At 35.9% G+C, this 20,158-nt stretch overlaps 1 protein-coding gene across 16 annotated transcripts in view; it reads left to right on the forward strand.

The window, feature by feature from the left end:
- The window catches only part of CDKAL1 (CDKAL1 threonylcarbamoyladenosine tRNA methylthiotransferase), a 697,948-nt gene that overhangs the window by 525,875 nt on the left and 151,915 nt on the right, over nucleotides 1-20,158 (forward strand). For all 16 annotated transcript variants that reach the window (XM_047418949.1, XM_047418952.1, NM_017774.3 and 13 more), the window contains one exon: nucleotides 4,717-4,897. In XM_047418949.1, the coding sequence (XP_047274905.1) occupies nucleotides 4,717-4,897 (181 nt within the window). The remainder of the gene's footprint in view (nucleotides 1-4,716; nucleotides 4,898-20,158) is intronic.

The raw sequence follows: 20,158 nt of genomic DNA on the forward strand, positions 1-20,158 counted from the left end.
ATAAGGTTCATAGTATTCTTTGTATCCTTTTACTGTTGGTAGCATCTGTAGTGATGTCCCATCCTTCATGCCTAAAGCTGGTCATCTGTATCTTCTTTTCTTTTCTCAGCCTAACTAGTACATTACTAATTGTATTGACTTTTTTCAAAGATGTACTTTTTACTTTTATTGATTTTTCTCTATTTTCTATTTCATTGATTTCTTATTTTACCTTTATTATTTTCTTTATTTGTCTTTTCATTTGATTTTTTCTCTTTGTTAGCTTCTTGAAGTGGAAGCTTAGATTTTTATATCTAACACAGAAATTAAAATCTATAAATTTTTCTCTAAGCACTGCTTTAGTTGCATATCATATATTTAGATGTGTTATGATTTCATTTTCATTCAGTTCAAGATATTTTTCTCCCCTACCTACCTCATTTTTTCCCCAAAAGTATTGAATATTTGTCCTAGAATAAACCTCCACAGGATAAGAATTATTTATTTTAATCATGTGTTTTGTTTATGTCTATAATTTTGGTAGGTCTAGTCCTTTGCTGATCATTTTTCTCTTTGTCTTTTGAGATGATTAGTATGTGTATTAGTCCTACTTTATTCACATGTAGAATTTGAAGCTCACAATTTATTGATCTAAGGAATGAAGTAGAATTATTATTTTCCATATTTTTGCCAGTGAAACACCAAATGGCAAGTAAAAATCTTGAGATGAATGTTTAAAGTGTGGGGTGTGTATATGTTTGTATTTTTATTCAAGGTGAAATAATTAACTTTTAAAATATTTATGGCTTTCTTAAATTACAGGCTAGAGCCAACAAATAGTTTGCCTGTTCCTTACATGTCCCTGATATATCTTTACAAGTAATCATAGCACTGCTTCTGACAAGGTCAGATGCATAATTCGAACCTTTCTTACTCCATTCCCAAGCTATTTAATAAGCCCATTTTGCCAGTAAATATAGGAGAGAAAAAATAATGGGCCAAAATTTTCCTGTTGTTTAACCTAAATGAATATTTTCATTTTCATCTTCCTTTCAGAATTATTTTCTAATACTAGTATGAAAACATACATAAAGTTCCTAAAATTGAATAACATATTACTTAGTATTTACATACATTACACACAGCTTAAATAAGTTTGTGGAAATGATTATTTTAAAAATTTTAGTATTTTGAAAATTCATGTCATCTCAAAAATAGCTTTTACCCAGAATTAGCATCTTAAATATTTGGATTAATATTCTGTTTTATACCCCTTATAATATTCTCCTAGCCATTTAAATCATATTCTAGTAATTTAGAATTTGTTCCACTTCAAACTTCTTTGATTTTCTCATACTAAAGAGAATTATTTACTAGGCAAATCAACAGTGTAAATGAGATTTCAGTTGGTTCACCTAAAGAGTCAAATTATTTTCAAGAATGTAAGTAGGATCATTTGCGTATATAAAATTAATGTATAGATCCGCCTCATCTCACATTAAAGTGCAGTCTCTACTTAAAAAACATTTTATAAGCAATCAGTTTGTATTCTTATATACTTTGAAACCATTCAACTGCTTTTACTTTTCAATATTGACTAGTATAAGTTGCTATTCACAGTGGCCTGCCTCCTCCCTTGCTATCAGGCAACTTTTTGTTTACCTTGCCAAATATATCCATGCATTGAAAATCCCTTTCCCTAACATTTACTATGACTTCTTTAAAGGTTTCTCTTTTGTCACTATGACCCTTAAGGCCAAAGTAAGCAGGTGTTGCATAACAGTGGGTTCAACCATAATGTATCAAGAAGGATAGAGGGAAAATCAGTAAGGTACTTTCCTGTGGGAATACCCCATAATCTAGTGCCAAATTTATTCTAATTCATAGCTGAGGACAATAACCTTTGTTTTTACAGTATTTCCCATGCAGTTTCTAAGATTTATTTTTAAAAATTTTCTAGGAGAGATGGACTATTCTCTATTATGATCTGCTGTGATCCATAACTTTTATTTTTAGCTGTAGACCTTTTGATAAGAATTATTGAAAAGGCAAGTATAAAACTAGCTAGCTGGAAAGCTATTCTACATGCTTTAGTCTACAAAAATGGTCTTTTTATTTATAGCTTACATGTAAAATCATATGATATTTGTGATTTTTCAAATGTAATTTTGATAATTACCTTTAAAGAAAAAAATATGTTTATATCACAATAAAAAGTTTAAATTTTTCTTCAAATGTACTGTTTTATTCTTCTGTGTGGATATTGTCTCTTTTTCTATTTATCATCATGGAGAAAAGTTCCAGTCCTTGGAATTTATCTTACTAACTAAAGTTCAGCCCAGTAACTAGCTAGGTGAGACCAAGAATAAATTAGGAACAAAATATTTTAAAAAATAGATTTGTCATGCTTCTTTCACACTGGGTGTTAAGTAGTGTGTGAAGAAAATATGGAAAGCTGTTGTTTTATGAAACTATATTAGGAATATAATAATTTGACTGTCCTCATTGGTATGTCCCTTGTTCCCTCTTATGCCCCCAAATATCTCATATATCTTAATTTGATAAACTGTTTTCATTCTTTCATGTAGAACTGTTTTTTGTTTGTTTGTTTGTTTGTTTTTTGAGACGAAGTCTTGTTCTGTCACCCAGACTGGAGTGCAGTGGCGCGATGTCGGCTCACTGCAACCTCCACCTCCCGGGTTCAAGCAATTCTCCTGCCTCAGCCACCCGAAGAGCTGGGATTACAGGCACCTGCCACCACACCCAGCTAATTTTTGTATTTTTAGTAGAGACAGGGTTTCACCATGTTGGCCAGGCTGGTCTCGAACTCCTGACCTCAGGTGATCCACCCACCTTGGCCTCCCAGAGTGCTGGGATTACAGGCATGATCCACTACATCTGGCCAGAACTGTTTAAATGATAGGAAAGTTGATATTCTATGTTTTGACATTGGAGCCATTTTCCCTATTGTTTATGGACTCAGAGTAATACTGGATTTTTAAATAAGTTAATGTAATTCTGTTATTGTTATACTATTAAAATAGAACAACGTCTGTGCCATATTTATGGAGGCACTAAATGGCCACAAGGAAATGACTTCCAAGATGCCAACATTTGGGCCTATCAAAAACAAAGGCAGCTTGCTACCTTATCGCTGAATGATAAAAAGATTTTAATGCTTTGCTCTTAAATGTAAAAGAACAGCAAGAATTGTTCTTTAGTGGTGGAAAGTCTCAACCGTGAATGAGAGTAATCAACAGACAAATTGCAGTGAACAGAAGAAAAATTACAAAAACCTTTAATTGACATCCTCAGATAAATAAGAAAAGATATTGTGTCCCTAAACAAGATACTGTGAAAAGGAAAATTGAGAAAGAGCTCTGAGAAATGTAAATAGTAATATTGAATTAATTTTTTTTGCAATAAAATAGTTGGAAGGTATGCTGAAGTAAAATTTCCAGAAAATAAAAGGGCAGAGATGAAAGAGAGAAAAAGCTAAGAGATCAACCCAGTGGTTTCAACATTCAAAAGAAAGGAGTCCCTGAGAGAAAAATTATTAAAGAAATAATATCAGAAAACTTCCTCAACCTAAAGCCCATGAGTCTCCAGACTGTACCTTGTACAAAGATTTAAAGACCCAATCCAAGGCATATTATCACATTGAGCATAAAGTTAATATCTTAAAAGCTTCTAAAAAGAGAATGGTGTGGGCACATTTAAAGAAGTGCGCATCCAAGTTAATCCAGACATCCCATTAGCAATTTTTTCAGCTTAAAAAAAGAGGAACAATGCAAAATTTGTATGGATAATACTTTTTGACTTGGAGTGCTACACACAACCAAATGTCGGTCAGTTGCGTGGCCTAAGACCACGCATGCAGAGACAACAACAAAATTTCCCTGGTATCTTTCTGATGAAGCTTCTGAAAGAAAGCACACCCCTACAGAATGAGGGAGCTAATCAAGAATTAAGAAGACTTAGGATCCGGGAAAAAAAGATTATTGAAAAAAGGATACCAAGAAGCAACATTCAAAGATGATAACCAGTTCACTATAAAAGCAACACACACCTGAAAGGAGTGGCATTTCCAGAAAAAGAAAAGGGGACTGGTACATTATACAATATGTCAAAGGTTTAGAAAACAGTATTGATTTTTGATAGCCCTAATGGAGTCTGGAAAACATCAACATAGGTATATAGAACATTAAGCTAATTTTTTTAAAAAGAGAAGCAATTATTAACTCTAGGAAAAATTACACATTGTGGAAAAACAAAACTGAATAGTATATCAATTGGCTCTACAGTGAAAGTTATCTTTGCAATTGTACCAATGGAAGTACTGTGTTAACTAGGAGTTGTTCATTGATTTCTTTGGGAGGGTAAGGATAGAGTAGTTCAAGAGTTAAAGCCTCATTTACCATAATAGAGAAGTTAGTAACTTATTGCCTAAAAATTAGTAAATCTAGAAATGGCAGAATTAGCATCTATTTTTAAATATAGAGGAAAGAACAAAGAACCATTTAAAAGAATTTAAGATGGGTTTCCCTGGAAATGGCAGGCAGCCAACTGTTTTTCATTTTAAACTTTTGGTATTTAGGACTCTTTGAAACTATTTGCACGTGTGCTTTTTATAAAAATAAATTTTAATTACCATAAAATTGTATTTAAAATGTCAGGGAAATAGAATAATTATGGCTTATAGTCAAGTTTTTACATTTTTGTCTTGTTATTTTCTAGAGTTCCTGGAATAACTATTGCTACAGATATTATCTGTGGTTTTCCTGGAGAAACAGATCAGGATTTTCAAGAAACAGTGAAACTTGTTGAAGAGTACAAATTCCCAAGCCTGTTTATTAACCAATTTTACCCAAGACCAGGAACTCCTGCTGCAAAAATGGAACAAGTTCCAGCACAAGTGGTAAGATCTTTTTCTTGTAAGGTATTGTTTTTTGCCAGTAGCTATAGAAATGCAGCTGTGTTGCCTACCTTCACACAACTTGCTCATGTTATAACCCTTAAATTACAAAATATGGAGAGATTTCCAAGTTGGGGTCAGGGGCCAGGGGGCCGTGGATGAGTTAAATGACCTTAGGCAACTAAAATATAATCACCTTTTTCTTCTTTTGAACAGTAAAATTCAGATGACTTGGGGAAAAAAATTTTTAATTAGTATCTAGTATTTACCTGTGTGTAGAAGATAAACTTTTGGATGTTTCAAAATAAGGCAATATTTAAATATTTGTGTATAAATGAGGCTTCATTTTTACCCCACTTTTTAAGAGACTCTTTTCATAGTTTGTTATTGATTGGGATCCCCCTAGTTTTGCTGCTTTTCTATTGGATAGATTTGATACTATCTTTCTACCTTTTTTTTTTTTTCAGTTTTTTCACAACGAGCCTCAATTTAATTTTATCCTTTCATGTTCACAGATACAGTAGAATTAGATGACTCATAATGAATGTGAATAAGTTTGGAATCAAGTAAAGGCAAAATGTTTCCCAGAATGCCCCAGAAATTAAGGGTCTCAAAACAAATATCTACTTTCTAGATTCATTGGCTGAATACGGGCAAATGTAAAATAAGCCTGAAGAGCAAGTAGAAATTTAAGTGAAAATTTTCTACTTTGTTTCTAATAACTATTAGGTTGGTGCAAAAGTAATTGCGGTTTTTGCCTTTAATTACCGCAATTACTTTTGCACTAACCTAAATTTTAAAAAATTATGCCCTGTCATTAATTTGCCTCAAATGTTTTTATGAATAAATATGCAAAGAAATAATCCAGAGCTTGTTACTGTTTTTCTGTTATAGCGTAAGTGAATATCAAACACAACATATATATTCTTTCAATATTTGGTTGAAAAATAGATGTATATTAGTTAAAGTCTGTTTTTTCCAAAATCAAAAGTGAATATCATAAAACCAAAATGAAGAGCATTATTTGTTTTCCCCAAATTTTCCTCATCTTAATTTACAACTTTCTGTCTATACAAGGGTAAGAAAATATTTTGCAGGTGGACCATTTAATTTTCTTTCTAATCTAATCAATGAAAAAAAAGCAGATTGTAACACCACAAATCGTTAACTTCCCACAAACATAAAAAGATGCCAAATTAATTCATTTTCTTCTATATCACAAGTATATATTATTGAGGGATAACTTACATACAGCAAAATTCACTCTTTTTGGTGTACAGTTCTATGACTTCTAGCAAATGCATATAGTAGTGCAACCTACTACATGACAATCAAGATATAGAACAATTCCATTAGCCCCCTCAAGATTCCTTTTTACCCTTTTGTTTTGTTCTGTTTTGTTTTGTTTTGCTTTCAGACAGGGTATCGCTCTGTTGCCCAGGCTGGAGTGCAGTGCTGCAATCTTGGCTCACTGTAGCCCCAACCTCCTGGGCTCAAGCAGTCCTTCCACCTCAGCATCTCAAGTAGCTGGGACTACAGGTGGGTGCCACCATGCCCAGCTCATTTTGTTTTTTAGTTTTCATAGAGACAGGGTCCTACTATGTGGCCCAGGTTGGTCTCGAACTCCTGGACTCAAGCGATCCTCCCATGTTGGTCTCCGAAAGTGCCAGTATTACAGGTGTGAGCCACTGCACCCAGCTGATCCTTCTTACCCTTTTTTGTAATCATCTTCTCCCTCCATTCACACCCAGTTCCTGACAACTACTGATCTGTTTTCTGTTCTCATAGTTCAATCTATTCTTTTTTTAAACTTTACTTCTTCTTTGCTAAAAAAGCTTTTGTACTGTACCTACAGAAAAGTATATGGCTGTGCACTTTTGTAAAGTGAATACTTCCTTATAACTACCAGTCAGATCAAGAAATTGAACATCACCAAGTACCACACAGGTCCCTGTCATGTCCTCCATTTACTGTCCTCTCCCCCTCCTCAAAGGAAGCCACCATGCCTTATTCTGACACCACAGGATAGTTTTACCCATTATTATTCTGGATATAAATGTAAGAATTCATGTTTGAGTGCTTGGATTTTGGGTTTTTGGGGATTTGTTTGTTTTTGCATAACATTATGTTGGCGAACTAATCTGTTTTTAAAGTAGCTGTAGTTCATCCATTGTTATTGCCAGGCAGTGTTCTACAGCATGCGTATATATATCACAGTTTATTCATCCTATTGATTATTAGCCGGGCGTGGTGGTGGGCGCCTGTAGTCTCAGCTATTCGGGAGGCTGAGGCAGAAGAATGGCGTGAACCTGGGAGGTGGAGCTTGCAGTGAGCTGAGATGGTTCCACTGCAGCACTCCAGCCTGGGCGACAGAGCAAGACTTGGGTATTTTCAAAATCCCAATATTAGTATTGCAGCAAATACAGCTGACAGGGTTCTTCTTGTTTTTTTCTTTTGTTCCACTTGTGTGTAAACTTTTCCACTGGGGGGTCTGGCTAGGAGTGTAATCGCTGAGTCATAGGAAATGAAATTGATCTGCTTTACTAGATAACTGCCAAATAGTTTCCCCAAATAGTTGAATAAATTTGCAATCCCAACAACAATATATAAAAATGGTAGAAGCTCCATATTCTTACCAGCTCTTGGTATTGTTACATTCTTAATGTTAGCCATTCTGGTGGGAATGTAACTTAATTTTAATTGTAGTTTTATATTTTCCTGTTAATTAACCATTTTGAGTGTCTTTTATATGTTTATTAGCTATTTGGGTGTCTTTCTTCATGAATTACCTGTTCAAATCTTTTGCCCATCTACCTGTTGGTTTACCAGTTGGATTTACAACCCGCCCTTACCCCCAATTTATAGGAGTTATTTACGTATTCTGGCTACAGCTCCTTGGCAGGTCATGGTAATTTAAATATCTTCTTCCATTCTGTAACCTACCTTTTCTCTTCATGGTGCCTTTTGAAGAACAGACGTTCTTCATTTTAATGTAGAATTTATCAATTTTTTTTTTATGTTAGTGCTTTTTGTGTCCTCTTAAGAAATGTTTACCTTCTCCACACCATCATAAAGATACCCCTCAATGTACTGTTCTAGAAATTTTATCATTTTGCCTTTTACCTTTAAATCTGCAGTCCAATTGGAATTTATTTTAATTTAAGGTATGAGGTGTGTTTGGGTTTCAGGGGAAGTTCACGTTTGTTTTGGGTTTTTTTGCCTCGGAAGCTATCCATTTGAGTCAATGCAGTTTATTGAAAATATCATTCTTGTCTCACTCGCCTGCCTGGTCACCTTTATTATAAATCACATGTATGTACATGTGTGGGTCTGTCCTGGGCATCTATTCTGTTCCTTTGGTCTGTTTGTCAGTCTTTCCACCCATACACAGGTTAACTACCATAGCTTTATAGTAAGTCTTGATATTGGCAATGTAAGTATTTCAATGTCGTATTTTTCTTGAAATTGCCCTAACTATTGTTGTTCCTTTGTTTTTGTAAATTTGTCAAGTTTCACCAAAAATCCTGCTGGAATTTTGATTAAGATCATATTGATTTTATAGGTCATTTGGGGGAAACTGATGTTGTTATAATATCAAGTTTCTGTCCTTAAATGAAGTATATGTCTCCATTTATTTTGATCTTCTCTAATTTCTATCGATAATGTTTTATAATTCTCTGTATATGTCTTACATATCATTTTATTAAATATGTTCCTACATGTGTGTTTCCATTGATACTATTGAAATGATTTTCATTTTTGTTGCTACTTAGAAATAAAGTTGATTAAAATATATTTATTTTGCCCAACTAATTCACTTATTAATTCTAATAGTGTTTCTGTAGGGTATTTTTTTAGATTTTCTTAGTATACAGTTATGTCATCTGATAGTCATAGTTTTAATTTTTCCATTCCAATTCTCATGACTTTTATTTCCTTTTCTTATCTTACTATACTGGCAAGAATGTTCAGTACACTGAGTAGAATTGGGCATCTTTCTCTTCTTCCCAAGCTCAAGGGGAGAGTTTTCAGAATTTTACCATTAAATGTAAAAGTTAGCTGTAGCTTTGGAATTAGTAAAGTTCCTTTCTATTCCTATTTTTCCCTGTGTCTGTGTGTGTGTTTTAATCATGAATAGAGTTGAACTTTATCATATGCTTTTTTGTCTATTGAAATAATATGATTTGTTTTTTGTTCTAAGTCTCTGTTAATATTATAACCTACATTGAATGGTTTTCAAATATTAAATTAACCTTGCATTCCTGTAATAAGCTTTACTTGGTTGTGATATATTGCTATTGATAAAATATTTCTGTTGTCTTGGTTATATTTCATGAAGGTTTTGCATTTTTGTTCATGGAAGACATTGATCTGTAGTTTTCTTGTAATGTCTTCTTAATTTTGTTATCAGAGTAGCATTGGCCTCATAGAATTAGTTGAGAAATCTTCCTTCCTCTACATTTTTCTGGAAGAGTTTGTATAGAAGTAAAGTATTTCTTTTTAAAATATTTGACAGAATTGCCCAATAAAATCCCCCAGATTTTCTTTCTTTTTTTTTTTTTTTTTTTTTTTTTTTTTTAAAACAGAGCCTTGCTCTGTCACCCAGGCTGGAGTGCTGCAGTGGCGCCATCTCAGCTCACTGCAAGCTCCGCCTCCCGGGTTCACGCCATTCTTCTGCCTCAGCCTCCCAAATAGCTGGGACTACAGGCGCCCGCCACCACGCCCGGCTAATTTTTTTGTATTTTTAGTAGAGTCGAGGTTTCACCGTGTTAACCAGGATGGTCTCGATCTCCTGACCTTGTGATCCACCCGCCTCAGCCTCCCAAAGTGCTGGGATTACAGGCATGAGCCAGGTCCCCCAGATTTTCTCATCCTCCTCACCCCCAGGTTACACACCCTTTCTAATCTCTGGGACTGTGAATTTGATATTTGCTGTACTTGCTGATCGTTTGGTTCCACTCTGTGTAGTTATTTTTCCCTTTTCCTGAAAGATAGCACATGTGTACAGCTGAATAATTTTCTCGGCCTGATCCTGCCATAAGAATGTTAAGAATCCTATGGCCTCTTTTTATTTTGTACTGTCTCTGTCCCTTTTAGTCTACACTGGCAGTGTGAATTTTTTGTTTGTTTATTTGGTTTTGGTTTGTTTGGGCTTTTTTCTTTTTGTTTCTCTCTTTTTTTTTTGGCTCAGTTTTCTCAGGAATTTTGTGGGTCTTCCCTGGATTTCACTGGAACTTACTCCATTAGATAAATGTTATATCCACAGATCTTTATGAGATCATCCCTGCTCTACCTTAGCCTCTTGCTGAGAGTACTTTTCTTTGTATTTATCCTGCTTGAGGATTCTTGGTGTTTTTTCGCCCTGTGTCCTCATTTTTTTCAGAAGGTTTGGAAACCTTAGCCATTCTTTCTTCAGATATATATTCTACTCTCTTCTCTCTTCCCCTGTGATTTCAGTTACATGTGCTAGATATTTTCTTTTGTTCCCCAATATCTGATATATTCTTTGCTATACTTTGTGCACTTTGTTCTGTGTTTCTGTCTGGATATTTCCTCTTTATCTGTTTCCTATTTCCTTGGTATTCGTAACTGTCCCTGGGCCAACATCCACAGAAATTGTAGTCCCTGAACAGCAGTGTTGGCAGCAGCTGTGAGGCTGCTGGAAATGCAGACTCTCAGGCCCCACCCTAGACCTGTTCAGTCACCGTCTGCATCTCCAGGTGATTTGTGTATACATTAAAATTTGTGAAGCACTGATCTTGCTTACTAATCCTTTCTTCATTTGTTTTTAATCTGCTGTCAAACCCATCTATGGGATTTCTAATTTTAGTTAATGTGTTTTTTAATTCTAGAATTATAGTTTGAATTTTCATAGATTTCCATGTTCTAATTAAATTATTCATATTTTCCTTTATAGTTTTTAAACATTTATATGGTTTGGCTTTGTGTCCTCACCCAAATCTCATCTTGAATTGTAATCCCCACGTGTCAGGGGAGAGACCTGGTGGGAGGTGATTGGATCATGGGGGCAGATTCCCCCATGCTGTTTTCATGATAGTGAGTGAGTTCTCACAAGATCTGATGGTTTTATAAGGGGCTCTTCCCTCTTGACTCTCCTCTCTCCTGCCACCTTGTGAAGGGGGTGCCTGCTGCCCCTTCCACCGTGATTGTAAATTTCCTGAGGCCTCCCCAGCCATGCGGAACTGTGAGCCAATTAAACCTCTTTTCTTTATAATTTACCCAGTCTCAGGCATTTCTTTATAGCAGTGTGAAAACAGACTAATACAAACATATTACTTAGTTATCTTAAAGTCCATTCCAAAATCTCCAGTATTTGGATCTCATATTGGTTCATTTCTGCTTTTTAGTTTTGTTTTTTCTTGATTCTGGTCGTTTGTCTTTTTCTCCATGTACCTAGTATTTTTTTCTTTTTTTGAATGGTGGCCATTGTTTATTTTTTAAAAACCTGTAGATTCTAGGCTATCATGTATCTTCCTCCAGGGAGGATTTTATTTTGCTTCTGCCAGGTGCTAAGGTAAGAACTGATTATTTTAATCTGACTGAGATGGATTTTTGAGACTGTTTTTCACTCTTTCTGATGACTGCTTTATTTCTGCCTGCCCTTACTTTTGAATGCAGCCAGTTGTGTGCTAGTGTTTAACAAGTGACTCTCGGGAGAAAGAGTTCTGATCTGTAGCATTTGCCAGTTTCCATAGTGTGAATACTTCCACTGTTGCCAATTTCAGATTACCAATGTTACATCACTGAAGATGGCACTGGGAAGCGATACACACAGCCAGCTTTTGTGAACTGGTACACGCCACATTAACGTACCACCTAGTGTAGTTCTTCTAGTACCCAGCTGAAATTCTATGGTGATTTTACCAGGACTTTTTCTTTATGGCAGATCTTCAACTCTAATTTTTGTATCTCACGCTCATGAGAATGCATCAGGCTCTGCGTATTTACTTCGCCTCTTAGATTTTGTTTGGCTGTTCAGCCTCCCAGGCACTACTTAACATTGATAAATGTCTAGAAGGAAAAAGTGACTCCAAATATTGAGCTGTCCTCCACGGGCTTGTCTTCTTTCTGGGAGCTTGATCTCTCACTTCCTTGGTAGCTTTTTCATGTTTAAATAGTACAGATTGTACATTTTATTCACCTTTTTAATTGTTCTTGGCAAGAACATTGGTCTGATACTAGCTAGTTAGCCAGAAGCAGAACTCATTGCATAAAATCAGCTTTTAAATGCCTTTTTTTCGGAGCTTGCAGTGAGCCAAGATTGTGCCATTGCACTCTAGCCTGGGCGACTGAGCGAGACTCCGTCTCAAAAAAAAAAAAAAAAAAAAAAAAAAGCCTGTTTTTGTCTTGTCTTTTATCTTCTAAACGTAGCCTGTTACCATCTTCCTCACGTTTTAGACTTCAGTCACCCAGGCCTGGAATAGAGTATCTTTTTTTTTTTTTTTGTCTTTATTTTTTAAAGCACTTTTAGGTTCACAGCAACATTAAGCAGAAAATAACACATAGAGTTGCTATATGTTTCCTGCCCCTACACATGCACAGCTTTTCCCAGTACATTTGTTACAATCAACGAACCTACATTACATATCATTTTCACCCAAAGTCCATAGTTTACATTAGGATTGATCCTAGGTGGTATACATTATATGGGTTTTGACAAATGTGAAATGACAAGCATCCACCACTATAGTATCATCAGAATAATTCCATTTCTCCAAAATCCTGTGTTCTCTGCTTGTTCATCCCTCTCTTCCCCAAACCCCTGGCAACCACTGATCTACTGCCTCTAATTTTGCCTTTTCCAGAATGTCACATATTTGGAAACATGGAGTGTGTAGACTTTTCAGATTGGCTTTTTTTGCTTAGTAATATACATTTAAGATTCCTTTGAATCTTTTCACGGCCTGATAGCTCATTTTATTTTAGCACTGAATAATATTTCATTGTGTGGACGTAACACAATTTATCCATTTACCTACTGAAGGACATGTTGGTTGCTTCCAAGTTTTGGCAATTGTGAATAAATCTGCTATAAACATCCACGTGCAGGTTTTTTTGTGGACCTAAGTGTTCAGCTCATTTGGATAAATACCAAAGAGGAGCGTGATTGCTGAATTGTATGGTAAGAGTATGTTTATAGAAGTATGTTTATAAAAAATTGCCACACTGTCTTCCAAAGCCACTCTGCCATTTTGCATTCTTACCAGCAATGAATGAGAGTTCCTTTTGTTCCATATCCTTGCCAACATCCTTGCCAACATTTGGTATTGTCAGCATTTTGGATTTTGGCCATTGTAACAGGTGTGTAATGGTATCTCACTGTAGTTTTAATTTGTAATTCACTAATGACATATGGTGTTGAGTGTCTTTTCATATACTTATTTGCCATATGTATGTTTTCTTTGGTGAGGTGTCTGTTCAGGTCTGTTGCCCATTTTTAATCATGCAGTTTGTTTCCTTATTGTTGAGTTATAAGAGTTCTTTGTGTATTTTGGGTAACAATTCATTATTAGATGTGTGCTTTACAAATATATTTTTCCAGTCTATGGCCTGTTTTCTCATTCGTTTGAAACAGACTAATTTTTGTTTATTTATTTTGTTTATTATTTTGTTTATTTAGCACTTGGAAATTTTTCAACTTTCCACTGCACTGCAATCTGAAACAGTAAACTTAGGTTCAGAGTGTCCTAGGCCAACTTGTGAAGCTGTTTCCTTGTATTATTCTCAGTTATACTGTTCTGTTCTCAAGAGCCAATATTCTGGGATTCTGCACTGTTGTTCTTCTCATGCAGCTCTTTATTAAACCTCTTTGTATTAATGTCCCAAAGCTTCTATAACAAAGTACCACAAACTAGGGGGCTTCAAACAACAGAAATGTATTATCTGACGATTCTAGAGGCTACAAGTACAAAGAAAAGCCTCTTCTCCCTCAGAATCATGTACCAGAATCCTTCCTGGCCTGTCCCAGCTTCTGGTGATTTCCTGATGGTCTTTGGTGTTTCTTGGCCTGCAGCTGCATAGCTCTAGTCTCTGACTTTATTGTCACAAGGTGTCCGTGTATGTCTCTGTCTTTACATGGCTGTTTTCTTAAAAGGACTAAGTCATATTGGATTAGGGGCCCACCCTGCTCTTCATCTTTACTAGTTATGTCTGAAACAAGCCTATTTCCACATAAGGTAACATTCTGAAGTACTGGGGATTAGGACTTCAGTATGACTTTTTGTGGGGGATACAATTCAATCCACGAGACTCTTCTACATCCCTGTAATTATGCTCTAGGTAAAAACCATTGCCTGGAAGAGTTTCTTCTTTATAAAATGCAGAAACTTTGGTAAAAAGAAGCAAAAATGGTGAAACTTGAGAGATCTGCAGTCAAACAGAAGATATATGATGTGCACTGAGTCTTCTTGGTTCTCTTAAATTTACTAAAAATTAATAATTGTCTACTCTACCAGTCTTAGGTAGTTTATGAAACTGCTTATGAAACTAGAATTCACTAAAATATAATACTATTGCAAAATGGGTAGCAGTTTTTTGGTTTTTTCTTTCTTAAAAATTTATTATTTTTTTAAAATTTCAATAACTTTAGGAGTACACATGGTTTGTGGTTATATGGATGGATTGTATAGTGGTGAAGTCTGAGGTTTTAGTGCACCCATCATGTGAGTAGTGTACATTGTACCCAAAATGTAGTGGTGTTTTTTTTTTAATCCTTCACCTACTCCTACCTCCCCACTTCTGAGTCTCCAAAGCCTATTTCCTTGCCAAAAGAATAATCAGTGAACATATGTACAATTATTGTGTGCCAATTGTAAATTTTTTAAAAATCAATAATGAAAGTAGATGCTAACCCATTATTAGAAGAAGAGTACAATACAATACCAGTTGCTTTCAAATAATATCTTTTTGTTTTGGCTTTAGAATGCCTCTTAGTGAAGATATACTATTTTCTGAGATACGTTTTATTTCTGCTAACAACAAGTCCCAAAAAATGTTCTTCCCCTGTAGATGACATAAGGATAAGTATACTCTCCCCGTCATATTTACTTTTACATAAATATTAGCATTAATATAAATAAATTTCAGTGTTTTAATCTATTATGGCAGAGCTCTAATAAATGAACTAAATTGTTTGTATTCTTAATTATTTAAATCCCAAATGGATAAGACACCCTTTAGTTGAATTTTGTATTTGTATAGGGGGAGAGATGAATTCTTCGCCTTGATTGCCTACTGAAAAAAAAGAGTATAATCCTCTTAACTTTATAATGAAAATAAATTAGACAATATATTTTCATGAACAGGATAAACTAAAATTTATTTTTTTTAGCTTTTACAAGACTATAATATATAAGCGATTTAATAATGAAATCACCTAAGCCAAATGAGAGCGACTAGATTTTTAGATGAAAGGTCAGATTTGCAAGTTCATATTTTCTGTTCCATTAAGTCTTCCTTCATTAGTCTTCATTCATTTGAAGTAATTCCAGTAGTATTTTTAAATTGTGGCTGAGATTCTTGGTCTGCCTAGGAAAGGTCACCTAAGTTTAAAAAGTCTTTTGATCCTCGGCGGTCAATTCCAGACTTTGCTTTTTAGAAAATATTGATGATGAATAATGAAATTATTGTGAAATCTTTATATTAGGAGTCTTATGACTTGAAAAAAACAATTAGATGGCAAGAGTGGCTGTTAGAATGTTTATATAGCTTTAAGATGTTAAATTGTGATACATCTACCTACTTGCTTGTCTTACATGTTGGAACCAGAGAGTAAAGGCAATATCTTTGATTATATGTCCTCATAAAAGAATCATAGTTCACTTACCTGCAGTTTCTAGAACTTTTACCCTTAAGAAAGAATGTAAGGGAGTGTTTCTAAGAGGGCTGGAGGGACATTCTTGTGGGGGTTAGAGACAGCTTTGCCAAAACGGTCTCTGGCAGATTTTCCTTGTGAGGAATTACATTGTTGCTGTGGGTGTTCATACCAAGGCAGGGTGACCACTTGGAACAGATATTGAATAAAGAATATTCTTAAATCATATATAGAAGCTTGCTCAATGACATACAGTGACTCTCCCAAATCTAGCTGCCAGTGGGTCAAGGAATATTTTATTTTTCACACACACACAGACACGTGAGTGCGCACATGTACATATGTCCGAGAAACATAGCATATAAAAGAGCTTTGTCACTTTCTTTAAATGCCTTTAAACCTTTTTGTTTCTGAGTGTAATCCTTACGTTTAACAACTCAGTGTTTTAAAGAATATCAGGTTGCCTTAATGGAAGGAATACTGAATCTTTTAGCTTACTCGATAACAGAATTACATTATTTACTCAGTGTCAGATTTTTTAATTAAATTTGTTTTCTTGGAGGAAAGAGAAAAAATATTTTCAAGAATTTTTATACTCTGGATTGTTAAGTACCTTTTATTCTAAATTGATTCCCAAACATACCCATAGGGAAGACCCTTTTCTCAAGAACTTTTTCATTTTAACTTCTCTTTTTTAGAAAGACTATCTTGGCATTCTTATTCTTATGCAACTTAATTGTACTTGATCCCTTCCAGTTGATCTTTTGAAGTCCTTTCTTCTGGACACATCATTTTTGTTTTTACTTCCATTTTCGATGGAGTTTTTAGCCTGCCCATAATTTTGTTGTATCTGGATTTCAGCAGATCATTTAACAGAGCTTTTTATAATGACTCTATACTAGAGAGAAGTATGAGCTAGATTATAATAGAAAGATAGTTGAGAGCCTCCTACTTTGTGTGGGTTTTTATACAGAGGATATTTATTTAACATAAACTTAATGATCCCAAAGACTTCTTGAAATGCCTAATAATCTTTGATTTTTCTATTAGACAATTTTAAGGCCACTTTTCAACCTATATATATAGAAAGATTTAGGTGCTTTCTTTTTCTAGATGGTTGGTGTAAATATGTTATCTACATTTCCCATTCTTTCACCTTCTATTTTATTATGAATCTAATGACTTTTTGTTTGTACAATTGGTTGATCAAATCTTCTTGAATTCAAATAGGAATACTATTAAATTCATTGTTATAGGGGCTCAAATGGCAGCAATGAGACCTAATATGGTAGGCAGAGTAACGGGTCCTCAAAGATATCCATGTCCTAATCCCGAAACTTGTGAATATGTTACCTTGCATGGTGTATTAGTTCATTCTTGCACTGCTATAAAGAACTACCTGAGACTGGGTAGTTTATAAAGAAAAAAAGCTTAATTGTGCTCATGGTTCTGCAGGCTTTACAGGCTTCTGCTTTTGGGGTGGCTTCAGGAAACTTATAATCACTGCAGAAGGCAAAGGGGAAGCAGGTACATATTCACATGGCCAGCAGGAAAGGGGCAGGGGGAAGTGCTATACACTTTTACAACAACCAGATCTTGTGAGAACTCGCTCGCTATCATGAGAACAGCAAGGGGGAAGTCTGCCCCCATGACCCAGTCACCTCTCACCAGGTCCCTTCTTCAACACAGTAATTACAATTCGACATGAGATTTGGGTGGGGACACAGAGCCAAGCCAAACCATATCACATGGTGAAAAGAACTTTGCAGATGCAATTAAGTTCAAGCTCTTGAGATGGGGAGGTTTTCATGGATTACCTGAGTGGGGTCAATGTAATCACAAGGATCCTCATAAAGGGGAGCAAGAGGGTCCCAGTTAGAGGAGATGTGAGGGCAGAAACAAAGGTCAGAGTGATAAGCTCTGAAGGTCAAGGAAGGGACCACGGGCATAAAATGCAGGTGGCCTTTAGAAGCTGGAAAAGGCAAGAGCAGATTCTCCCCTAGAGCCTCCTGAAGGAACACAGCCCTGCCAAAACCCTTGATTTTAGGAGACTCATTTCAGATTTCTCACCTCCAGAACTATAATATAATAAATTTGTGTTTTGTGGTAATTTGTTACTGCAACTATATGAAACTTGTACACTATGGAATATTTTGATCTGAGAACATTGTCTGGCTTTTCGAGACAGCTAAATTAATTGATCTTTCAGGGCTTTATGTTACCCAGGGTTTGCTGTATCACTAGGTGACACATGCTTATTCCTAGATCTGTGAACAGTTAGCTAGATACTACCCTACAGTCACAATAATCTTTGGGCCTAATCATAATAATGATATAACAAAAGTAAGAGTTAACATTTAGCCATGATTATATGTCAGATGTTGTTCTGAGCCCTTTAATGTATTTCATTCTCACAGCTCTCTGCCGTTAGAACTGTTATTATTGTCATTCTGCACATCAGGAAACTGAGGCCATGAGTGATTAACTAGCCCAAGATCATACAGAGGAGCTCCTGCCTGCCTCTCCACTCCTCGATCTTGCCATTCCTTCCAACTCACTCTTTGCTCCCACATCTGACTGCTTGTAGTTCCCAGCATACTTTTATATTCATCTCCCCTGCCTCAGATTCCTTCCTCGTCCTCTCACACAGCGGGGTGCAGGGTGAGGAGGAGAGCTTGGATCATTTGCACTTAGCATTTAAGCCTCTCTTCAGCCTTCCCTGATCATCCCTGGCTTGGATGATCACCCTGTTCTCCTCCCCACCTCTTTCATGTTCCCATAAATTTTGGTGCTTATTTATACCCTGTCACTTATGATGTATAACTGGTTTTGAGAAATGTGGGGGCTAATCTTTCTATCATGTGCACCTAGCACAATACCTGGCATAGAGCAGGAACTCAGTATGTGTTGGATTGACAGATGCTGTAAAATTGAATTCTGAGAGTTGAGATGCCATCAGCTGTGAGAAGTGGGGGGTGCCTGTGTGAGAGGAAGAATGGCTGTTACAGGGGCGGCGTGGGACAGAACCTGGGCACAAATAAAACAGGGAACATTAATGAGAATAAAATTCATTCCCATTGGGGCGGTGAGATATATTTTTGTTTGTTTGTTTGTTTTTGATGAAGTGGAGAACAATATGCAGGAATAGGTTAGTGTCAATAAATGAGTCAGGTACTATAGGCAAGGCTTAGATTAAGATGGCCATATAAGCCATGTTAAATAGCTTTAAACTGTCCTGTGGGCAGTAGGGAGCTACTGAGTAGTAGTGATCTTATGTCTGTTTTGGAAAGCTCTGTCTAGGTGGCAGGGGAACAGAGGAATCAGAAAGCCCATTGAGAAGCTACTGCAAGAGATAGAGTTGGAAACTAGTAAGTGGATTTAAAGAATCTCTGTGACTTATTCCTGAGACTTTAGATACGTCTTCTTCTTTTGGACTAAATCATTCCAAGTCCCAGACTTAGTTGCATGTCAGCAAATTATTCTGTGTTCTATGGAAAACATTAACTCATGCCACAGGCATTCACTAATTGGGTTTTCCTTGACTGTAGACTTAACAGATCAAATATTGGTAGGCAAGAACATTTTACAAGGACCCTTGAACGTTGCTGAAAATTTAAGGCAATATAAATTGATTTTGCCTTTTGCTACAGCTGGTGCTGATGACATTATCTTCCCTAATGGTCATGAGATTACTTCCTGGACCAGGCCCAACCTCTTCTACTCTGAAGTAGAAACACCAACCCCTCCAGCCCTCTTTCCTTGTCTGCTCCCTATCTTTTCCCCTACTTGATTTTATCTTTTCCCAAGCTGTTTCTACTTGCCAGTTACAGGATTGGCTTTTTTCTTGTGGCCTCTTTATCTTTCTTTTTGTTTTTGTTGTTCTAAGCACCATAAGATAAGCTTATCAACTTTGTCTCTGTGTGTGTGTGTGTGTGTGTGTGTGTGTGTGTTTGAACCATGTAGAAAACTCTGGGCTTGGGAACATTTGAAGAAGCTGGAGCCCTGATTGGATCATTCTTTTTTTTTTTTTTCTTTGAATCCTTCTTAAATTGAGCACTTCCCTTATATCCACTGTCACACTAACAAAAGTAAAGAAAAAGGGGGTGCTAACATTTGGAACTTGGAAACGTGAAAATAACAAAAATTGTTGTTAAGCCTCAGCTGTGTAGAGGGAAGTTTGCCAATGATACCCTTGGGTTGTCTACCATCTTGAATCTGAAATAGAGAATCTAACAAACATGACTAATCTGGAGTAAATGGAAGCAGACCTTGTCAAGATCTCATGAAAGAAAAGACTGTTTCTAAGACGGAAATGCTCTCCAGCAGTGTAAACAGTGTGCATGGGTGTGGGCTGATGCAGTACCTCTCCTCCCAGGGACCTGCACAAGGAGACCAGGGAGATACCACAGCCGAGAGTGTCACCAGTAAGA

This window comes from Homo sapiens, chromosome 6 (genome assembly GCF_000001405.40).
Source record: "Homo sapiens chromosome 6, GRCh38.p14 Primary Assembly".
In the NCBI taxonomy this organism is placed as follows: Eukaryota; Metazoa; Chordata; class Mammalia; order Primates; family Hominidae; genus Homo; species Homo sapiens.